General features: G+C 38.0%; 1 protein-coding gene across 87 annotated transcripts in view; it reads left to right on the plus strand.

Annotated features, from left to right (window-relative positions):
- Window positions 1-18,462, plus strand: part of PARPBP (PARP1 binding protein) — a 77,338-nt gene that overhangs the window by 13,220 nt on the left and 45,656 nt on the right. For 43 of the 87 annotated variants that reach the window (XR_007063095.1, XR_007063096.1, XR_007063097.1 and 40 more), the window contains one exon: window positions 14,828-15,061. The exons of 22 other annotated variants lie outside the window; for them this stretch is intronic. Coding sequence is in view for 62 of the 65 variants with exons in the window: in NM_017915.5 (NP_060385.3) it covers window positions 14,828-15,061 (234 nt within the window). In the remaining 3 variants the exon portion in view is untranslated. Of the gene's footprint in view, window positions 1-206; window positions 1,211-3,734; window positions 3,843-14,827; window positions 15,606-18,167; window positions 18,399-18,462 lie in introns of those variants that run through there. 22 more of the 87 variants (NM_001319994.2, NM_001400864.1, NM_001382728.1 and 19 more) reach the window with 5 other exon arrangements.

The following is an 18,462-nucleotide window of genomic DNA, read 5'->3' on the forward strand; positions in this document are numbered from 1 at the left end:
CATAGTGTTTTGTCCTTCATTCTGTTATGTGCCATGTTTTGTTTATAGATTTGCATATGCTGAACCATCCCTGGTATGAATCTGACTTTATCATCATGAGTGATCCTTTTAATGTGCTGTTTAATTTGGTTTCCTAGTATTTTGTTGAGGAATTTTGCATATGTGTTCATTATGGATATTGTCCTCTAATTTTTTTTTTCTTGTAGTGTCCTAGTGTGGCTTTGGAATCCGGGTCATGGTTGTTTCATAAAATGAGTTTGGAAGTATTCCCTTTTCATTTTTTTGGAAGAGTTCTTAGTGCATACAGAACATTCGTCAAGATAGATCATATGTTAGCCCACAAAACAAGTCTTAACAAATTTAAGAAGATTGAAATCATACTGAGTATCTTTTCTGATTACAGTGGTATGAAACTAGAAATCTGTAACAGGAAGAATTTGGAAAATTAACAAACACGTGGAAATTAACCAACGGTTCGAAGAAGAAATTAAAAGGAAATTTAAAAAAACCTTAAAAAATATGGAAGTACAACATACCACAACTTATGGGATAGAGCAAAAGCAATTCTAAGAGGAAAGCTTATAGCAATAAACACCTACATTGAAAGAAAAAAAGATCTTTAATAAACTTAACATTACACCAAAAGAAACTAGGAAAAGAACACACTAAGCCCAAACTTAGCAGAAGGAAGAGAATAATAAAGATGAGAGCAGAAATAAATGAAATAGAGACTAAAAAAACAATAGCAAAGATCAATGAAGCTAAGAGTTGGCTTTTTGAAAAGATAAACAAAATCAACAAACCTTTAGGTAAAAGTAAGAAAAAAGAGAAGCCTCAAAAAAAAAAAAAAAGAAATGAAAAAGGATACATTATAACTAATACCACAGAAATAAAACAGGTCATAAAAGACTACTATGAACAATTTGTATGCCAACAAATTGGATAACCTAGAAGAAATGGATAAATTCCTTGACACGTACTATCTACCAAGACTACATCATGAAGAAATAGGAACTCTGAATAGACCAATAAGAAATAAGGACATTGAATCAGTAATAAAAAGTCTTTTATTAAAGAAAAGCCCAGGACCTGATGGCTTTACTGCTGAATTCTACCAAACATTTAAAGAACTAATACCAATCCTTCTCAAACTCTTCCAAAAGCATGCAGAAGGGGGAACACTTTCCAGCTCATTTTATGAAGCCAGTAGGTAAGTATTCTCCTCATAGACTTTCTATTCATATCCTTTTCTTATTTTACTGTTGAGTTGTTTTTGTCTCTTGTTTTTGCTGTGAGACAGGCTCTCACTCTGTCGCCCAGGCTGGAGTGCAGTGGCACAATCATTGTTCACTGCAACCTCGACCTCCCCAGGCTTAGGTGATTTTTACCTCAGCCTCCCAAGTAGCTGGGACTACAGGTACGTACCACCATGCCCAGCTAATTCTTTTATTTTTTTATAGAGACAGGGTTTCTCCATGTTGCCCAGGCTGGTCTTGAACTCCTGGGCCCAAGGGATCTGCCTGCCTCGGTCTCCCAAAGTGCTGGGATTACAGGCATGAACCACTATGTCTGACCTCTTTCTTATTTGGAATATTTCTATATGTATTTTAGATATTCTCTTTGTTATAAATTTTGTTGGTACTGTAAGGGAGGCAAAATTTTACCTCCACCCTTTTAGGGTTTTTGGCTGGGCCTGAGAATTAAATTGACATAAGGCAGATCAACAGGAGAAAATCATACAAATTTAATAGGAGTATTACATGGCACAGGAATATGTATAAGGAAATGAAGACCAAAAGACAAGTTAGAGTTGAACACTTACATACTGAATCGGAGAAAGAGTAGTAAAATGAAAATGTGGGCCGGGCATGGTGGCTCACGCCTGTAATCCCAGCACTTTGGGAGGCCAAGGTGGGTGGATCACTAGGTCAGGAGATCGACACCATTCTGGCTAACACGGTGAAACCCCATCTTTACTAAAAATACAAGAGAATTAGCCGGGTGTGGTGGCAGGCGCCTGTAGTTCCAGCTACTTGGGAGGCTGAGGCAGGAGAATGGTGTGAACCCGGGAGGCAGAGCTTGCAGTGAGATCGCACCACTGCACTCCAGCCTGGGAGACAGAGACTCCGTCTCCAAAAAAAAAAAAAAAAAAAAAAAAATGACAAGGCAAAGGAACTTGGGTGTTTAATTGGATGGAGTAGTGGCCAGGAAATAAAGATTAGTTTAATAAGGTTTGTATAGATTTCCCTGGACCTCAGTTTACACTCCTTGATGATAAGACCGTTACTTGTATAAAGAGGGTATCTTTCACATGGGAATTTTGTCTTCTGTTTTGAAGAAACGGAAGGAAGTTCATAGTGATCATCTTGCACCTGCTGTTTTTCGAGTACTTTTAGCCTAGATTTTCATTTTACCAGGTGGCATAATTTGGGGGTGGAGTGATCTTAATTATTTCAGTATCTTCTAGTTTTACCTACAAGTTTTAGCTTTTCTCCATTTTACCTACTTTCACTGGATGCATTTCCCTTACATTCTTCTACCTGCATTTATGTGAGATACCATTCTACTGAGTCTTAAATCCAGTATGATCATCTTTACCTTGATGTCCCTGTACTGTTTCCACATCATTTTTTTTTGAGATGGAGTCTCTCCCACATCAATTTTTAAAATAGAGCACATTGTTTGCTTTTTCAACTGACCTTCCCGTTCATATTCTTAGTCGTATTGGCATGTGCCATTGTTCACTCAGTAACTTAAGCTAGATACCCTATTTTTATTTTAATTTATTCTTCTTTGGTAGTGTGAGGAAGTAGTACTAAGGTAAATGATGGATTATGAGAATATTGAATAAATAGACTAGCTAAGGGTTAAACCTTGGTGACCATACACTGGAAAATAATGAGAGAGGAATTGAGGCAATTTTTCAGAATCAGTATTGTATAGTGATTGGAGGCTGTTATTCTGGAATCAGACTATATTCAAATCACCTCCTTTCATTTATTTATGACTTACTTTTAAAGAAATAAGTAGATTTTTTCAACAAGCTAAGTGAAATATACCCTGAAAAACATTTAACCCTCATTGTAAGAATTTTCACATACTGAAATATTCAATCCAAGTCAGTTTTTCTTCAGGATTTGTTTACGTAGCAGTCACTCAGTGTCTCTTTCTACTTGCTAATTTTCTACTTGCTAATTCACTTAATTCAGTGTGAAAGTTCAGACTCTGGGTGGGAAAGAAGAGGTGAGTTGCAACTGAGATTTTCACAGTTCTTGTATGTGTGTGCACATGTGTAGTGGTGTGGTAGGTTGCAGTTCAGTTTTATTTCAACTTTCCACATAAGAGTTAGCTTAGGCATCCTCAACTGTGCTCTGACTTCCAAGCAGTATGAAACAACATACCTATATGTCTGCGGGTGCATTCGTGAGTAGCATATAGTAATTAAAAGTAGATAGAGTTGGTTGTATATATCCATGACGTATATTTTTTATCCTGTGTTTGAGCTCTATTTAGATTTCTCTTTTGGTTTTTGTTTTGTTTTGTGTTTTTTTTGTTTGTTTGTTTGTTTTTGAGACAGAGTCTCACTCTGTCACCCAGGCTGGAGTGCAGTGGCACAATCTCCGCTCACTGTAAACTCCGCCTCCTGGGTTCATGCCATTCTCTTGCCTCAGCCTCCTGAGTAGCTGGACTACAGGCACCCACCACCACGCCTAGCTAATTTTTTGTATTTTTAGGAGAGACGGGGTTTCACCATGTTAGCCAGGATGGTCTCGATCTCCTGACTTCGTGATCCACCCGCCTCGGCCTCCCAAAGTGCTAAAATTACAGGCGTGAACCACCACGTAAGTTTTTAATTCTCTGAAGTTTGAGAACATGAGTCTTAAAGTATAATTCTTACAGCTGAATTTGACTACAGTAAAACTTTTGAATACCTAGTAGAGTTGTTAGTCTGTCTAATGGCATATTTGTTTTTTCTCAACTGTTAAAGTGGGAGAAAAGAAAAGACATATTGAAATACTCTTTAAGTTTTAGGTTTTTAGCATGTTTTTTGAGGGGGAAAATTTTTTAGCTTGAATTATATAATGCCTCTCTAGCAGTTATATACTGCTAAAGATTTTTTTTTTTTAATTCTAGGGTATATGTGCACAACGTGCAGGTTTGTTACATATGTACACATGTGCCATGTTGGTGTGCTGCACCCATTAACTCGTCATTTACATTAGGTACATCTCCTAATGCTATCCCTCCCCGCTCCCCCCACCCCACGACAGGCCCCAGTTTGTGATGTTCCCCTTCCTGTGTCCATGTGTTCTCATTGTTCAGTTCCCACCTATGAGTCAGATCATGCAGCGTTTGGTTTTCTGTCCTTGAGATAGTTTGCTCGGAATGATGGTTTCCAGCTTCATCCATGTCCCTACAAAGGACATGAACTCATCCTTTTTTATGGCTGCATAGTATTCCATGGTGTATATGTGCCATATTTTCTTAATCCAGTCTATCATTCTTGGACATTTGGGTTGGTTCCAAGTCTTTGCTATTGTGAATAGTGTCGCAATAAACATACGTGTGCGTGTGTCTTCGTAGCAGTATGATTTATAATCCTTTGGGTATATACCCAGTAATGGGATGGCTGGGTCAAATGGTATTTCTAGTTCTAGATCCCTGAGGAATCACCACACTGACTTCCACAATGAATGAACTAGTTTACAGTCCCACCAACAGTGTAAAAGTGTTCCTATTTCTCCACATCCTCTCCAGCACCTTTTGTTTCCTGACTTTTTAATAATGGCCATTCTAACTGGTGTGAGATGGTATCTCATCGTGGTTTTGATTTGCATTTCTCTGATGGCCAGTGATGATGAGCATTTTTTCTTGTGTCTTTTGGGTGCATAAATATCTTCTTTTGAGAAGTATCTGTTCATATCCTTTGTGCACTTTTTGATGGGGTTGTTTGATTTGTTCTTGTAAATTTTTTTTAAGTTCTTTGTAGATTCTGGAATTAGCCCTTTGTCAGATGGGTAGATTGCAAAAATTTTCTCCCATTCTGTAGGTTGCCTGTTTACTCTGATGGTAGTTTCTTTTGCTGTGCAGAAGCTCTTTAGTTTAGTTAGATCCCATTTATCAATTTTGGCTGGTGTTTTAGTCATGAAGTCCTTGCTCATGCCTATGTCCTGAATGGTATTGCCTAGGTTTTCTTGTAGGGTTTTTATGGTTTTAGGTCTAACATTCAAGTCTTTAATCCATCTTGAATTAATTTTTGTATAAGGTGTAAGGAAGGGATCCAGTTTCAGCTTTCTACATATGGCTAGCCAGTTTTCCCAGCACCATTTATTAAATAGGGAATCTTTTCCCGATTTCTTGTTTTTGTCAGGTTTGTCAAAGATCAGATGGTTGTAGATGTGTGATATTATTTCTGAGGGCTCTGTTCTGTTCCATTGATCTATATCTCTGTTTTGGTACCACTACCATGCTGTTTTGGTTACTGTAGCCTTGTAGTATAGTTTGAAGTCAGGAAGCGTGATGCCTCCAGCTTTGTTCTTCTTGCTTAGGATTGTCTTGGCAATGTGGGCTCTTTTTTGGTTCCATATGAATTTTAAAGTAGTTTTTTCCAATTCTGTGAAGAAAGTCATTGGTAGCTTCATGGGGATGGCATTAAATCTATAAATTACCTTGGACAGTATGGCCATTTTCACCATATTGATTCTTCCTGTCCATGAGCATGGAATGTTCTTCCATTTGTCTGTGTCCTCTTTTATTTCATTGAGCAGTGGTTTGTAGTTCTCCTTGAAGAGGTCCTTCACATCCCTTGTAAGTTGGGTTCCTAGGTATTTTATTCTCTTTGTAGCAATTGTGAATGAGAGTTCACTCATGATTTGGCTCTCTGTCTGTGATTGGTGTATAAGAATGCTTGTGAGTTTTGCACATTGATTTTGTATCCTGAGACTGCTGAAGTTGCTTATCAGCTTAAGGAGATTTTGGGCTGAGACGATGGGGTTTTCTAAATATACAATAATGTCATCTGCAAACAGGGACAATTTGACTTCTTCTTTTCCTAAATGAATACCCTTTATTTCTTTCTCCTGCCTGATTGCCCTGGCCAGAACTTCCAACACTATGTTGACTAGGAGTGGTGAGAGAGGGCATCCCTGTCTTGTGCAAGTTTTCAAAGGGAATGCTTCCAGTTTTTGCCCATTCAGTATGATATTGGCTGTGGCTTTGTCATAATTAGCTCTTATTATTTTGAGATACTTCCCATCAGTACCTAGTTTATTGAGAGTTTTTAGCCTGAAGGGCTGTTGAATTTTGTGGAAGGCCTTTTCTGCATCTGTTGAGATAATCATGTGGTTTTTGTCTTTGGTTCTGTTTATATGATGGACTACATTTATTGATTTGTGTATGTTGAACCAGGCTTTCATCCCAGGGATGAAGCCCACTTGATCTTAGTGGATAAGCTTTTAGATGTGCTGCTGGATTTAGTTTGCCAGTATTTTATTGAGGATTTTCGCATGGATGTTCATCAGGGATATTGGTCTAAAATTCTCTTTTTTTGTTGTGTCTCTGCCAGGCTTTGGTATCAGGATGATGCTGGCCTCATAAAATGAGTTAGGGATGATTCCCTCTTTTTCTGTTAATTGGAATAGTTTCAGAAAGAATGGTACCAGCTCCTCTTTGTACCTCTGGTAGAATTTAGCTGTGAATCCATCTGGTCCTGGAATTTTTTTGGTTGGTAGGCTATTAATTATTGCCTCAATTTCAGAGCCTGTTATTGGTCTATTCAGGGATTCAACTTCTTCCTGGTTTAGTCTTGGGAGGGTATATGTGTCCAGGAATTGATCCATTTCTTCTAGATTTTCTAGTTCATTTGCATAGAGGTGTTTATAGTATTGTCTGATGATAGTTTGTATTTCTGTGGGATTGGTGGTGATATCCCCTTTATCGTTTTTTATTGTGGCTATTTGATTCTTCTCTCTTTTCTTCTTTATTAGTCTTACTAGTGGTCCATCAATTTTGTTGATCCTTTCAAAAAAACAGCTCCTGGGTTCATTGATTTTTTGGAGGGTTTTTTGTGTCTCTATTTCCTTCAGTTGTGCTCTGATCTTAGCTATTTCTTGCCTTCTGCTAGCTTTTGAATGTGTTTGCTCTTGCTTCTGTAGTTCTTTTAATTGTGATGTTAGGGTGTCGATTTTAGATCTTTCCTGCTTTCTCTTGTGGGCAATTAGTGCTATAAATTTCCCTCTACACACTGCTTTAAATGTGTCCCAGAGATTCTGGTGTGTTGTGTCTTTGTTCTTATTGGTTTCAAAGAACATCTTTATTTCTGCCTTCATTTTGTTATGTACCAGTAGTCATTCAGGAGCAGGTTGTTCAGTTTCCATGTAGTTGAGTGGTTTTGAGTGAGTTTCTTAATCCTGAGTTCTAGTTTGATTGCACTGTGGTCTGAGAGACAGTCTGTTAGAATTTCTGTTCTTTTACATTTGCTAAGGAGTGCTTTACTTCCAACTTAGTGGTCAATTTTGGAATAAGTGCGGTGTGGTGCTGAGAAGAATGTATATTCTGTTGATTTGGGGTGGAGAGTTCTGTAGATGTCTATTAGGTCCGCTTGGTGCAGAGCTGAGTTGAATTCCTGGATATCCTTATTAACTTTCTGTCTTGTTGATCTATCTAATGTTGACAGTGGGGTGTTAAAGTCTCCCATTATTACTGTGTGGGAGTCTAAGTCTCTTGATAGGTCTCTAAGGACTTGCTATATGAATCTGGGTGCTCCTGTATTGTGTGCATATATATTTAGGATAGTTAGCTCTTCTTGTTGAATTGATCCCTTTACCATTATGCAATGGCCTTCTTTGTCTGTTTTGATTTTTGTTGGTTTAAAGTCTGTTTTATCAGAGACTAGGATTGCAACCCCTGCTTTTTTTTTTGTTTTCCATTTGCTTGGTAGATCTTCCTCCATCCCTTTATTTTGAGCCTATATGTGTCTCTGCATGTGAGATGGGTCTCCTGAATACAGCACACTGATGGGTCTTGACTCTTTATCCAATTTGCCAGTCTGTGTCTTTTAATTGGAGCATTTAGCCCATTTACATTTGAGTTTAATATTGTTATGTGTGAATTTGATCCTGTCATTATGATGTTAGCGGGTTATTTTGCTCGTTAGTTGATGCAGTTTCTTCCTAGCCTTGATGGTCTTTAAAATTTGGCATGTTTTTGCAGTGGCTGGTACCAGTTTTTCCTTTCCATGTTTAGTACTTCCTTCAGGAGCTCTTGTAAGGCAGGTCTGGTGGTGACAAAATCTCTCAGCATTTGCTTGTCTGTAAAGGATTTTATTTCTCCTTCACTTATGAAGCTTAGTTTGGCTGGCTATGAAATTCTGGGTTGAAAATTCTTTTCTTTAAGAATGTTGAATATTGGCCCCCACTGTCTTCTGGCTTGTAGCGTTTCTGCCGAGAGATCTGCTGTTAGTCTGATGGGCTTCCCTTTGTGAGTAACCTGACCTTTCTCTCTGGCTGCCCTTAACATTTTTTCCTTCAGTTCAACTTTGGTGAATCTGATAATTATGTGTCTTGGAGTTGGTCTTCTCGAGGAGTATCTTTGTGGAGTTCTCTGTATTTCCTGAATTTGAATGTTGGCCTGCCCTGCTAGGTTGGGGAAGTTCTCCTGGATAATATCCTGCAGAGTGTTTTCCAACTTGGTTCCATTCTCCCCGTCACTTTCAGGTACACCAATCAGATGTAAATTTGGTCTTTTCATATAGTCCCATATTTCTTGGAGGCTTTGTTTGTTTCTTTTTACTCTTTTTTCTCTAAACTTGTCTTCTCGCTTCATTTCATTAATTTGATCTTCAATCACTGATACCCTTTCTTCCACTTGATGAATCAGCCACTGAAGCTTGTGCATGCATCTCATAGTTCTCGTGCCATGGTTTTCAGCTCCATCAGGTCATTTAAGGTATTCTCTACCCTGTTTATTCTAGTTAGCTAATCGTCTAATCTTTTTTCAAGTTTTTACCTTCTTTGCAATGGGTTTAAACATCCTCCTTTAGCTCAGATAAGTTTGTTATTACCAATCGTCTGAAGTCTTCTTCTCTCAACTCGTCAAAGTCATTCTCTGTCCAGCTTTGTTCCATTGCTGGTGAGGAGCTGCATTCCTTTGGAGGAGAAGAGGCACTCTGCTTTTTAGAATATTTGGCTTTTCTGCTCTGGTTTCTCCCCATCTTTGTGGTTTTATCTACCTTTGGTCTTTGATGAAGGTGACGTACAGATGAGGTTTGGTGTGGATGTCCTTTCTGTTTGTTAGTTTTCCTTCTAACAGTCAGGAACCTCAGCTGCAGGTGTGTTGGAGTTTGCTGGAGGTCCACTCCAGACTCTGTTTGCCTGGGTATCACCAGTGGAGGCTGCAGAACAGCAAATATTGCAGAACGGCAAATGTTGCTGCCTGATCCTTCCTCTGGAAGTTTCGTCTCAGAGGGACACCCGGCCGTATGAGGTGTCAGTCGGCCCCTACTGGGAGGTGCCTCCCACTTAGGCTACTTGGTGTTCAGGGACCTACTTGAGGAGGCAGTCTGTCCGTTCTCAGATCTCAAACTCCATGCTGGGAGAACCACTACTCTCTTCAAAGCTGCCAGACAGGATGTTTAAGTCTGCAGAAGTTTCTGCTGCCTTTTGTTCAGCTATGCCCCGCCCTCAGAGGTGGAGTGTACAGAGGCAGGCGGGCCTCCTTGAGCTGTGGTGGGTTCCACCCAGTTTGAGCTTCCAGGCCACTTTGTTTACCTACTGAAGCCTCAGCAATGGCAGACGCCCCCCACCCCCAGCTGCCTTGCAGTTCGATCTCAGACTAATGTGCTAGCAGTGAGTGAGGCTCTTGTGGGCGTGGGACCCTCTTAGCAAGGAGCAGGATATAATCTGCTGGTGTGCCGTTTGCTAAGACCATTGGAAAAGCACAGTATTAGGGTGGGAGTGTCCCGATTTTCCAGGTACCATCTGTCATGGCTTCCCTTGGCTAGGAAAGGGAATTCCCCGACCCCTTGCGCTTCCCGGGTGAGATGATGCCCTGCCCTGCTTCAGCTCATGCTCTGTGCGCTGCACCCACTGTCTGACAAGCCCCAATGAGATGAACCCGGTACCTCAGTTGGAAATGCAGAAATCACTCATCTTCTGCGTCGCTCATACTGGGAGCTGTAGACTGTAGCTGTTCCTATTTGGCCATCTTGGAACCTCCTCCTAAAAATGTAACCTTTATAGATTCATTGAGGACTTTTGACGTCATTATATGGCGAATGTATATGACTTCATTAGGAGGCAACTAATATTTTGGCTTTCTTTCTTTGGAATTAGCTTCTTAGTTTGCATCTGACTGACAATCGTGTTAATAGAGGCTATTTTTTTTTTGCCTTAAATTGTCTTATTGAGAAACTTACAATATTCCATTGCATAAAACAGATGAAGGTATTAATTTTATACCTTTATGGAAAGCAATTACAGTACCTGTGATTGACTGTCAGATTTGAAAATGATGTAACTGTGATCTAACAAGAAGAAACAGGTTTTTAAAATTGTATTGCATTTTATCACCACTCTTTCCCCTCAAAACAATGATTTTACTTTAAATAGGAGAAGAGAAAGGAAATTGACATTTTTGATTACCTATCATTTGTCAGGTGTTATTTAATCTGTGTAATCTCATTTTATAACCAAGGAAACTGACTCAGGGGTTTCAGTATCTTACTCAAGGTCACATAGCCCATTAGTGCTCTTAAGTAGACCTATCTTTTCTTTAATGACAACAAAATGTCTAGTCAATTAAAAATGTAAAGTTTATTTAAAATTTTGAGTTATTAGAAAAATATGATATAATGTACAAAGTACGAATGCTCTGGAAAATATGTAACTCTTGATTTTCTCATTTTATTCTTGTGCAATACAATCCTTCTTATGTCCATCAGAGAATTAAAGTGGTGAACATTTTGAACTTCCTTCATATATTAGCCAGCTGGCATGTTTTCCTAGCAAAATATTTTCTGATTTGACCACAGACTCTCTCAATCAGTTGTTACTGGTTTGAATAATAGAATATGCTGTCATGGTGGGCACCTGATCATGAAAACTGATATCTGGAGTGCATTTTTATTTGGATTTAAAATGTTTTTACAATCCCAGTATAAACACTGTTAATCTAGTCAAAACTTTTTCTCACAAGATCAAGAGCTTGCATAGTTTTACTTTAACTAGTTATAGTCAAAAGGGTAAGAATAAGTTGTGCATTTACATTACACAAAATCTTATTTTAAACATGAAGGATGTCAGACTAAAAATAGTGTTAGGAATTTTTGAGATAAAACAGTTTAGTTTTAAAACTCTAAATAACTGGATTTATTTAATTTACATAGCATTTGGAAATTTTCTGATGTGTAACCTTTGTGGGGTTGGGGAGTAAGTGTACAGTTTTTGGTACAATGCTGGAAAATTACAAATATGTCCTACATTTGGAGAATAGATCCAATGTTTGAGAGTTACTGATTTTTTTGTTTTTGGTTATTCATTGAACTAGTTTCATGAAATAGAATTAATTTCCATTTTCATGACACAACAGGCCCCTGCACTAAGGACAATGAGGATAATTTTTTTAGTTGTGTTTGTATAGATGAGTAAAGAGCTGCTTATTTTAAGGCAGTTTGGACACTTAGTCTTAAATGTGGATAGTAAGTACTACCAGTGGCTAATTATTATAGGAAGTATAAAAATGTAGATTTAAAAGGGTCAAATATATAGAAAATAATATTTAGGAGTACTTGATTTCTTTCTGTTTTTGTTGTGTAAAGTTTATATTGTAGTTTAGTTCTAGTGAACTATAGTTGTACTTGAATACCCACCCATCTTCAAATGCAATGAGTTGACAGATCTTGGTGTTAGTGGAAACTACTAAAATATTAAAGGAACTTAACTATAGAAGACAGCAATGTATTACATTTCATAAATCATATCTGGATACTTAAAAATATTTAGTACTCATGGTGTATTAAAAAGGAGTAGTTAGAATTTAATTTTTGCTGAATTAGGGCTGGCAGCTTTTGGAAGGCATCATTATTAATTTCTAGAATATTAATGGAGCAGAATGGAATCAATAAAAAAAACCTTCAACTTGTTCACTGAGAGAATTTATTATGCAGATGTTGAAGAAGACTTTAAAGAAAGCATTATAGTTAGATAAAATATTAGCATGCAAACATGTTGGTAACATTAGTGGATCTCTAAGCAACTATATGTCACTGTAGCCAGGTTATAATCTGTTTTATTTCTCGTGGGATAGATAGAAATTCTGTCAAAAAAGAGAAAGAAAAAGAATAATTTTGCCTGATTACTAACATCTGACAACTTATAGAAAGAAACCTGTGTCTTTTTAGCACTTGTTTGTTACAGTTTCATGTGTCCATGAGCTGAGAAGAATCAAAATTAATCTCTGGCTCAAGGTTTTACACTTGATCTTAGCCAAAAGGCCGAGAAGCAATGGCTCAAGGTTTTAGCACTGATGTTTTGCTTTCCTAGTAATAGTAATGAAACATAATTTTATTGCTTCAAAGAGAATAAAATACCTAGGAACCCAACTTACAAAGGATGTGAAGGACCTCTTCAAGGAGAACTACAAACCACTGCTCAATGAAATAAAAGAGGATACAAAGAAATGGAAGAACATTCCATGCTCATGGGTAGGAAGAATCAATATGGTGAAAATGGCCATACTGCCCAAGGTAATTTATAGATTCAATGCCATCCCCATCAAGCCACCAATGGCTTTCTTCACAGAATTGGAAAAAAATTACTTTAAAGTTCATATGGAACCAAAAAAGAACCCGCATCACCAAGTCAATCCTAAGCCAAAAGAACAAAGCTGGAGGCATCACGCTACCTGACTTCAAACTATACTACAAGGCTACAGTAACCAAAACAGCATGGTACTGGTACCAAAACAGAGATATAGATCAATGGAACAGAACAGAGCCCTCGGAAATAATGCCACATATCTACAACTATCTGATCTTTGACAAACCTGAGAAAAACAAGCAATAGGGAAAGGATTCCCTATTTAATAAATGGTGCTGGGAAAACTGGCTAGCCATATGTAGAAAGCTGAAACTGGATCCCTTCCTTACACCTTATATAAAAATTAATTCTAGATGGATTAAAGACTTAAACGTTAGACCTAAAACCATAAAAACCCTAGAAGAAAACCTAGGCATTACCATTCAGGACATAGGCATGAGCAAGGACTTCATGTCTAAAACACCAAAAGCAATGGCAACAAAAGCCAAAATTGACAAATGGGATCTAATTAAACTAAAGAGCTTCTGCACAGCAAAAGAAACTACCGTCAGAGTGAACAGGCAACCTACAAAATGGGAGAAAATTTCCGCAACCTACTCATCTGACAAAGGGCTAATATCCAGAGTCTACAATGAACTCAAACAAATTTGCAAGAAAAAAACAAACAACCCCATCAAAAAGTGGGCAAAGGACATGAACAGACACTTCTCAAAAGAAGACATTTATGCAGCCAAAAAACACATGAAAAAATGCTCACCGTCACTGGCCATCAGAGAAATGCAAATCAAAACCACAATGAGATACCATCTCACACCAGTTAGAATGGCAATCATTAAAAAGTCAGGATACAACACGTGCTGGAGAGGATGTGGAAAAATAGGAACACTTTTACACTGTTGGTGGGACTGTAAACTAGTTCAACCATTGTGGAAGTCAGTGTGGCTATTCCTCGGATCTAGAACTAGAAATACCATTTGACCCAGCCATCCCATTGCTGGGTATATACCCAAGGGACTATAAATCATGCTGCTGTAAAGACACATGCACACATATGTTTATTCTGGCACTATTCACAATAGCAAAGACTTGGAACCAACCCAAATGTCCAACAATGATAGACTGGATTAAGAAAATGTGGCACATATACACCATGGAATACTATGCAGCCATGAAAAATGATGAGTTCATGTCCTTTGTAGGGACATGGATGAAATTGGAAATCATCATTCTCAGTAAACTATCGCAAGGACAAAAAACCAAACACCGCATGTTCTCAATCATAGATGGAATTGAACAATGAGAACACATGGACACAGGAAGGGGAACATCACACTCTGGGGACTCTTGTGGGGTGGGGGGAGGGGTGAGGGATAGCATTAGGAGATATACCTAATGCTAAATGACGAGTTAATGGGTGCGGCGCACCAGCATGGCATATGTATACATATGTAACTAACCTGCACATTGTGCACATGTACCCTAAAACTTAAAGTATAATAATAATAAAATAAAAAAAATTAATCTTTATGACCATATTTTTAGACTAAACCCTTGGAATATTGTGTTATATGGGAATTCACTATGGCAATGAGAATTTTAAATACGAGATTAAAAATAGATTCGCCAAAAGAACGAAAAGGAACTAAAAAGAATCAAAATTTTCCCCCATCAATAGTACTTAAGTATAGTTTACTGCCCACCCATCCATCCATTTTGGGTAGAAGAAATTTGACGAATTTCAAGAAATGTAACAGCGGCTATGTATTTACCAGTTTTATCATGTGCAAACTTGCCTTAGTTGTTCATATTTTATAAAATCATGAAAACCTTTTTCTTTTATATCTGGTTTCCAAAATTGTCTCATAGTTCAACTTGGGTGTTCTCTTCAAACCCACAAAAATTGAATGTAGACTTTACCAAAATTTAATTTGTATTTCTTATCTCAGTTATAAGTTATTGAATATTCTGGTACCCAACTTTATTTTTTTTTTTTTTGGCATTATCTTTTTCAGCACAGTGGAGAATTTACAGTCTCTCTCAGTGATGTTTTATTGACATGGAAATACTTGCTCCATGAGAAATTGAACTTACCAGTTGAAAACATGGACGTGACTGACCATTATGAGGACGTTAGGAAGATTTATGATGATTTCTTGAAGAACAGTAATATGTTAGATCTGATTGATGTTTATCAAAAATGTAGGGCTTTGACTTCTAATTGTGAAAATTATAACACAGTATCTCCTGTAAGTATTTTTTAAACAATTCTATTTTAATCAAATTAAAATTTAGCTCTATTTATTTTGAATTATAGTATCACCAGTTATAGTAACTTGGTAATGTTTTTGCTTTGTGAATCATGTTAAAAATGGGAAAATTTAGCTACCTGAAAGCTACTTATTACTTGAAAGAAAGATTTTGTGGTAAATTTTCTTGGACTTGTGTTATTGTTATTTAGTTGCTATACGGATAGCTTCTTATTAGATCAAAAATCCCTAACAAAGAAATTAGTCCCAAATGCCTGATTTCTTTTTGAATCATGTCAAAGATTGCTTTTGTATTCACTTTCTTGATTTAATGTGCATCTGTTCATTTGGCATATGTTGGATAAATGATTGGTGTGACTTTTTCTATGGATTAATAATGTTATTTTACTACATATAGGTATCATTTATTTTATGAAAATAGTATTATGCAATATACATGAGATAATAGACTATTCTTTTTTTGCACAAGCATTTTTTTAATGGAGTATAAATGTAAAAATTAAATGGAGTAGTATCCCTTGCAGTTTGGTTTTGTCTACGTTAGAATTTATAAACTGTTTTAGAATATATTTGGGTGTATCTAGTTATTTTTAAAGTGTTGGAAATATTTTTAGTTATTTGAACATTTACTGAGTGCCAATAAAGTAGTAGTTAAATAGTGGCAATAAATAACTGAAGCTGGAATTAGAGGAAAATGTTTGCTATATTTTGTAAGATAATCAATTATTTTATAAATATTTCAATACAATACTTGAGAACAGTGTTTTAGCCGATTATAATAGAAACCTCCACTACAATAGTTATTGAGAGAAAAATAGAAGTATAACTCTTTTATGTAAGATGTCTAAAGATATGCAACCAAGACTGATATGATAGCTCCATGGTTATCAGAGACCTGGACTTTTTCTATCATTCTGCTCGCCCATTTTAGTCCTTGGTTCCTACCCTCTAGACCATTTTATGGTCCAAGATGACTGTTGGAGCTCCAGCCATTATATCCATTATATTGGTATTCCTTGTACCAAGAACTAGTAAGGAAGAACAGCACTTTGCTTTTCTCTTAAGGGTACATAGCTTTTTCTTTCATGTCATTGCCAAAAGGTTAGTCACATGGCCACAACAAGCTGCAAGGGAGGATGGAGAATATAGATCTTATTCTGGGTAATATCTTGCCAGAATAAAAACAAAAGCTCTATTACTAGGGAAGAAAGGGAGAATGGATATTGGCAGGCAGCTTGCTGTCTTTGCCTCATTGAACTATCATAAAAACCTTTGCCTTGTTACAGCTTCCTCAAAACATATCCGCACACATGTACAACTACACTATGGTAAGGATACTTGTAAAGATAGCTTTTTAAATTCTTCCTTAGCTATATTTTATTTGCTTGCTTACAGAGATGATTTTTGTCTATTTTTCACATAGTTGATTTAGAGAGGCTTAATCATATATCAGTACTGGATTGTAGGACAACAAAGATCTTAAAAACCAGTGACAGTATAATCTACCTGAGGTCTTTGGGCGCATTGTTTTCCTTCTATTCCTCGCCCTTGTCTAAGTCCTCTAATAAGTTTCCTCATTTGAGTGGGTTAAGTTATAGTATGATATATATCAGGGTACAAGTTTGAGGTTGTCTCTGTGGGATACTCTCTCCAAATGTCATCGTGTCATCAGGAGTAAAATTGAAGCTGCTAAGATGGTAGTACATGAAGTAGAAAATGTTCTGCATTTTAACCGTGGAAGATCAACAACTTAATCTCTGATACTATTGTTTGTTCTAGGGAAATTTCCAGTGCGGGGAAAAAGTAGACAGGAAAATATATCCCTAGATTGATTTCTCAAAAATGCACTAAGTATAATCCCAATTTTTGCTGAAAGTCTCTTTCAAGGTACATATTAGAATATTCCAAACAGTTTTGAATGTCATGATCCTGAATTTTCATAATCCTGATAAAGTTTCTTTGTTTCATATTTGTTGTAGCTGAAATAAGGTAGGGATTATGAGGAATTAAGATAAAGCTAAGTCAGGGCAATTTTGGGAATGTGGTCACTTAAACAGTGCCCCTTCCCTCTTCACTCCCTACTTACGATTCCTCTCCTAAGGAAAATGGATTCAGGGCCCATGGGCATCTCGGAGCATACAAGGCCTTAGATTGTAACTGGAGACTAAGTAGAGAGATTTGATACAGGGCTTGCTTTCTCATGAACTGAGCAAGTATCTGGAAGACAGGATCAGAGACCTGGGGTGAGGAGCAGAAATGGTTAATCCTGAGAAGAGCTTAGCCTCAGAGATCTGTGGACGTCTTTGGGGGAAGGTCAGCAAATGACCTCTGTAGGTACGCTCATATTCCCTGACCCTCAAGCCAAGAAGTAGCTGAATAGATGGGCTCACTTCTTGTTGGTGAGGCTTGGGAGAACACAAGACTCTTCCTTAGCCTCAGCAGATGACTGGTAGCCTGTTTGTTTGTCCACTGCTGCTCTGTAAGTATAGATACAATTTCAACTTCTATTACTTGTAGAACTGTCATCACTTAAGCTACTTCAGCAGTCAGATCTGAGTCCCAAAAAGCTAATGAAGAAAACAACACACCATTTAAGGGTTTCCAGCAGCCAGAGAAGGATGAGTTAGCTGCAACACACGTGCGTAACAGAACAGAGCTACTGGGGGGAATGACAGCAACTTGAATACGTATAAATGTTAGGTACTTGGGAAAATTCAAGAATAGCACCTCAACATAAAACTATGGATCTGGCAAAAAAGAAGGCAGTGCACCTGCGTGGGCCTGGGTCTGGGTGGGGGTGCCGCGGGTGCTTCATGATGCTGGGCTCTCTGGGATGGGGGGATGGCAGAGGGTGCTGCAACTACCCACGGAAGAATGCAGCTGAAGGCATAGGTTTTTGGCTTTAACTTCTTTGTGATGAGAAGGCCACCCTTGAGAAAGCTCATAAAATGTAGCACCTCTGCAGAAATGGTCCTTAGTTGGAGCCTGCGGCTGCTGGGAGATGCATCAACATCAGTGAATGGGGTCCTTTGGGTGGGTCCCTGATGCCTGCACACTTTTTAGGACCTTCTGATCTACCTGGCAGGGGTCAACTATACAGCCACCTTCAGAAAGAGGAAGCTTGCTGCTGTCTAGGCCAGATCTCTTGGCTCCTGGGGAAGATCCACCAGTGTCAGCCTCATTGACTCTGGAGCGGCAGAAGGGAGAGTCCCTCTTAGCATGGAGCTGGTCCCTAAACTTCAGATTGCCTGGGATTCCCATCACGGTCCAGAAGAAGAGACGAGACCTGAAGAAGCTGGCAGCTGTCATGCGGCAAGTGAGACAATGGGAAAGCCACCCGCTTCAGAACATTGAAGAAGCCACCTGGCACCAACTCACTG

This window comes from Homo sapiens, chromosome 12, assembly GCF_000001405.40.
Source record: "Homo sapiens chromosome 12, GRCh38.p14 Primary Assembly".
Taxonomy (NCBI): Eukaryota; Metazoa; Chordata; class Mammalia; order Primates; family Hominidae; genus Homo; species Homo sapiens.